Source organism: Homo sapiens, chromosome 5 (genome assembly GCF_000001405.40).
Source record: "Homo sapiens chromosome 5, GRCh38.p14 Primary Assembly".
NCBI classification, from domain to species: Eukaryota; Metazoa; Chordata; class Mammalia; order Primates; family Hominidae; genus Homo; species Homo sapiens.
Genome location: NC_000005.10, coordinates 156,775,253 through 156,781,252, shown reverse-complemented (window position 1 = coordinate 156,781,252; position 6,000 = coordinate 156,775,253).

Genomic DNA, 6,000 nt, shown 5'->3' with positions numbered 1-6,000 from the left:
TAATTTATAGTTACTAATATATGTTGGTTTTAATCTGTACTCTTACTACTTTACAAAAACTCATATATTGTTTGTTACTTTTTTTCGTACTGTCTTACCAATTCTTTCCTCCTCCAAGGGTAAATTTTCATCATAATTTGCTGGGATTTTTTTAGAGAGGTCTTCTAGAGGGTTTCCTATCCTCTCAGTCATTTTATGTAGAAACATTTATATTCATTTTCTCCTGCCCTCTCGCTAATGATAGTTTAAATGTGTATATAATTTTGTATTACTAATTATGTTCCACTGGCACTTTAAATGACATAAGCTGATAGTGTTTATCATTGTTATTATGCCTTCTTGGTTGTAACTCTTTTTTCCTTCCTCAGGTAGCTTTTAAGATTTTTTTTTCTGTATCCATGATTTCTGCAGTTTTAGTTCAATATATCTATATATGAATTAATTTTTATCTTGCTCAGTGTCTGTTTACACTGAGACTCCTTGCATATTTTTTATTTTAGAAAATCCTTAGTGTATATCTTTTAAAATATTGCTTATTTAACATTTCCCCTTCTGTTTTTCTGAAACTCCAGTTAGATGCATATCGGTCCTCTGAATCTAATCTTCGTAATACTTTAAACATTGTTATTCCCTTTTTTCATGTTGTATTTTAGTGAATTCTTCAATACTGTTCTCTAATTTACTGATTTCCTTTTTGACTGGGTAAATTCCATTCCAGAGTTTATTCTGTTAACTGTTAATTTCAGAGACTGCGTTTTTTATTTACAAAAATTTTACCTGATACTATCTACTCATCTATCCTATATCCTATATATGTGTGAGAGAGGGGAGGAATTTTTCTTCCTTTTTTTTTTTTTGACGGAGTCTTGCTCTGTCACCCAGGCTGGAGTGCAGTGGCCTGATCTCGACTGGCTGCACCCTCGACTCACTGCAACCTCCACCTCCCAGTTTCCCGCGATTCTCCTGTCTCAGCCTCCCGAGTAGCTGGGATTACAGGCACGCGTCATCATGCCCAGCTAATTTTTGTATTTTTAGTAGAGATGTGGTTTCACCATGTTGGCCAGGCTGGTCTCGAACTCCTGGCCTTGTGATCCACCCGCCTCAGCCTCTCAAAGTGCTGGGATTACAGGCGTGAGCCACCGCACCCAGCTGGAATTTTTCTTTTTCTTTTATAATTGTTTTCTATTTTAAAGCATGTTTATCTTTCATTTTTCCTTTGAGGATTTTAAAGTCCTTTTCAGACTCCTCTATAACATTAATTCTTATGGATTGAATGTGTCATTGCTGAATTACCATTTGCTTATCTTGGTATTAGTTTCTTGTATATGTTTTAGATATTTTTCCTGTTTCAGATTTTTGTTTTGATGATTTTCTCTGACTCAAGTGATTTTTTATCTGTCTTTTTCTTAGGTCCCCAATAGGCCTTTGTCCAGAGCCAGGTTTTATATTACTTACTAAGGCTCTTTCTCCTGAGCAATGTGGAGGAAATTCTGTATCCTTCCAGGAGCAGGTAATGAGGCTGTGTCTAATCTCTGCTGTAGGCGGGGAGCTTCTCTTTACCTGTTGTGTAGGTGCAGCAGTAGGAAGCAGGGGCTCAGGCGCTTTCTGCCGCTCTCCTCTGTCGTGTCCTCAGTGATAAATGGTGAGCATATTGCCCTCAGGCAACCTCTGCCAGCTCCTAGTCCTGGTCCCCAGCAGCCCTGCAGCCTTAGCCTTACACACTTGGCATTTTCATCAGTGTTTGCTTTTCACTATGTTTATCTCATTTTAGAGACCATTTTATCTCTTTTTATATTTTTCCTCTTTTTATATTTAATTTTGATTTGTGGTTAAAGCAGAGAGCAGGCCTTGAGATATAAGCTCATTACATCACCTTGACCAGACTTTGAAGTGCAAGACTTTCTCCTGATGTGGGAGATTCTGGTCCCAGAGTCCAGCCACCCTTGGCAATCCATGGTGTTTACTAAATCTTGGCTTATGAAGTTCTGGCCTCTATCTTGGTGTGGTGTGAAATGTCTGCTACTAGTGACTTCTGTCTTCCTCCTTCTTCTTGTAAACTTCAAAGGACCTCTTTCTCTCCCTTCTTGTTGGCCTCAACAGCACTCTGTGTATGTTTTGATTCTTTTATTATTGTCCTTGATGGTCAATTACAGAAGCTGTGTTTAGCACCTAAAAAGTGTTCTTCTTTCCTGGAGAACAGATTAATATTCACACTCTCCCAGCAGGTGAAAGGCAACAACTGCATCTCACATGTCTAATTCACAGAAGAAAATGAAGATGAGCAAAGCATTTGAATGTACGGTCTTTCTAAGTAATGAAACTAATTACCTGCTACGTTTTTCTAAGAACTTTCCATTCTCTCTGCTTGAATACTTTTCTCCTAAATGTCTGTGTGCCTGACTTCTACCCATCAAATCTCAGATGTCACCTCCTCAGGGAGGGGTTTAATTCTTTTACTGTACTTTTCATTGTCCAGAAGTTATCTTGATTGATTGCTGGTATATTTTTATATTGCCTCTTTCCATTAGATTGTAAACTCCATGATGGTGGAGGCCATGCCTACCTTGTTTGTTATAATCCTCAAACACATAGAAGAATGGCCAGCACTCAGTATGTGTTCAATACTTGGGCAATGAATGAATGAGCTACTTTTGTTCAAGATTCAGCACTGGTTACTCTGATGATATGTAGTTCACAGAGCACCATGTAAAATCACCAGATGTGAGGGCTGGCAGAGATCATTCATCTGACACTTTCATTTTACAGAGGAGAAGGAACTGAGGCTCAAGGCTTTTCACAGTCATGTAACTAGTGACCATACTGGAAACAAGGTTGAATTTCTTTTATTCATGCCACATCAATAGTTTTTAAGGAATGCTAGCCCTTGGAATCCCTGTCACATGGTCAGTGTTCAGTAAATATAGAAGCACTGAACAGATTCCAAATCTGCCTCCGCTGCTTTACACATGCCAACTTGGATAATCACTAAGTCTCTCTGGGACTTAGTTTCTCTGTTTGCAAGATGATATAGGTGTCTTGTAATTTAAAAGGTAATTTAAAAGATTATTTGGCAATGCATGTGAAAATGTATTTTGACAGAGGCAGTAAAAGAATAATATAAAAAGAATGTCACTGCTCTTGTGTCACCAATCTTGTATAGCAAAGAATGATTGATGGCCAAGAGCTGGGAAAGACATTACAGGAGCCCCAAGACCTGAAGAAAGAATTAATAGGCATAGTAGTTCAGTTTCTGTTGCTTACAACAGAATATCTGACACTAGGTAATTTATAAGAAGAAGACTTTATTGCTTACAGTTACGGGTGCTGAGAAGTCCAAGGCGGTCAAGGGGCTGCGTCTGGTGAGAGCCTTCTTGTTGATGAGGACTGTCTGAAGAGTGGCACAGGGCATCACATGGTGAGGGGACTGAGTGTCCCAGTGTGCCAGCTAAGGACTTTTTTCTTTTCTTTCCCTTTCTTTTCTCTCCTTTTTCTTTTCTTTTCTTTCTCTTTTTTTTTTTTATTTTGCTTCCTCTTTCTTTTCTTTTTTGAGACAAGGTTTCACTCTGTCACCCAGGCTGGTGATTGTGCAGTGGCACAATCACAGCTCACTGCAGCCGCAATCTTCTGGGCTCAAATGATCTTCCCACCTCAGCCTCCCAAGTCAGTTCACCACTTTCTTCCTCTTCTTATAAAGCCACCAGTTCTCCTTTCATAAAAACTCATTAATTTGCTAATCCATTTATGAGGTCAGAACCCTCATGATCCAATCATCTCTTACAGGCCCTTCCTCTCAGTACTATCATGTTGGGGAATGTATTTCTTTTTTTTTAAATTTTAATCTATTGAAAATCTTAGTCTTGTTTTATGACTCGGGAATAAATCTCAACATGAGTTTTGAAAGGAACAAATATTCAAACCATAGCAATAGGTAAGGAGAAAGACATGACGAGATGTTGGTATTAGAAACTTATCCTTGTGACTGAGAAGCTGGGGAGTGGGCCCTCTTTGATTTCTCTAAGACACTGTTTTTGTAGCTATCAGAATCATAATATAACTGTCAGAAGGAATAGAATTAACTATGCAATCGTAACACATATGTCAGAGATCTGTCTGGGATGCCAGGCAATCAGCAAATTTTTCTCAAAATGGAAAACAAAAGCCAAAGAAGCATGAGTGCTTTCATGTGTCTATTGTTTATGGATAACATTTTATTTTCCCTGAGTTACGTGGATGTCATGGGAACAGGGTGGGTGCCTCATCCAGATGGGTTCTGTAAGGAAACAGGATGGGTAAATGGATGCTGAGGAGGCCACCAACAGAGTCTACTACAACCTGAATTTCGGACTAGATTGTGTCAAAATGGAGACATGGCCATTGGAAAACCTTCTGATTTGACCATTTAGGAGGTCAGTGGTGACTTTAGAGAACCATATTATATTAGAGGTAGGGACAATGATTAGATTGGAGGATATCTTTAAGTGTGCAAATGGTGAAAAAGTAAACATAGACTATGATTTTAAGAATTTGGGTGGTGAGGCCAGGCACGGTGGCTCACGCCTGTAATGCCAGCACTTTGGGAGGCCGAGGCAGGCAGATCGCTTGAGCCCAGGAGTTCAAGACCAGCCTGGGCAACATAGTGAAACTCCCTCTCTACAAAAAATACAAAAATTACTCGGGTGTGGTGGTGCATGCTTGTGGTCCCAGCTACTTGAGAGGCCAAGGGGAGGATGACTTGAACTTGGCAGGCAGTGGTTACAGTGAGCAGTGATTGTTCCACTGCACTCCAACTCTGGGTGACAGAGCGAGACCCTGTTTAAAAAAAAAAAAATTTGGTTGGTGAGTTTCTTGAGGTGGGCAGGATTGAGAGAATACTTTTGGGTCTGTGTATATTATAAATGACCTTTCCTACAAATAGGAAAGATCTGACAGTTTTGGTAGGTCCAGAGTGGCAAGATTCAGGAGAAAAAAAAAAAAGGGCATGAAGAGAAGGAATGTTTCCTTCCTCAAGGAAGAGAGCAAACTATACACACAGTGCTAAAGAAAACTGAATTTAAACACTGAGTGGGGATGGTTGAAGGTGTCAGGAGCCCAGGTTATTGAGATCAGAACTTGGAGGCATTCTATAGGAGGGAACGTGGTCTTAAACACTGGTCTAGGTTAGACACAGGTTGATATGGTTTGGCTGTGTCCCCACCCAAATCTCATTTTGAATTGTAGTTCCCATAATCCCCAAATGTGGTGGGAGAGACCCCGTGGGAGGTAATTGAATCATGGGGGAGGTTACCCTCATGCTGTTCTCGTGATAGTGAGTTCTCACGAGATCTGATAGTTTCATAGGGGGCTTTTCTCCCTTTTGCTTGGCACTTCTCCTTGCTGCCACCATCTGAAGAAGGACATGTTTGCTTCCCCTTCTGCCATGATTGTAAGTTTCCTGAGGCCTCCTTAGCCCTGTGGAAGGGTGAGTCAATTAAACCTCTTTCCTTTATAAATTACCCAGTCATGGTTATTTCTTAATAGCAGTGTGAGAATGGACTAATACACAGGTTTAGCTGACAACATAACCAATACCTTTCCTCACTGTATCCATTACTCTGTGTTAAGTCTTTCCTCTTACAGGGCATAATTTGGTTGGAGAATACCCATTTGGCTGGAGGAGAAAAATTAAAAAAAGATGAGCTAGTTGGGCCAGATTATAGTGTATCAGTTATTTAGCTTTTAAAGAGTAGAGAAGGACCCCTGTGGTAACTGTCTGGACTGTATGGTAACTGAACTGGAGAAGGGGTTGATTATAGAATTTTGGGGGCCTTGGTAGATTATCTGTGAAGGGGTCTTATAGAGAGCAGCAAGATCAGTTAGATTTTGGAGGGGACGTAGGTTATGAAGTGTAGAAATCATGGAAAGGATGGATTTAAGATGTACTAATCTGTATGAAACCATTTGGAATTAGAATTGCAAGGTTTAACTTGCAATAATTGCAAGGTTTAACAAAACAAACCTGGA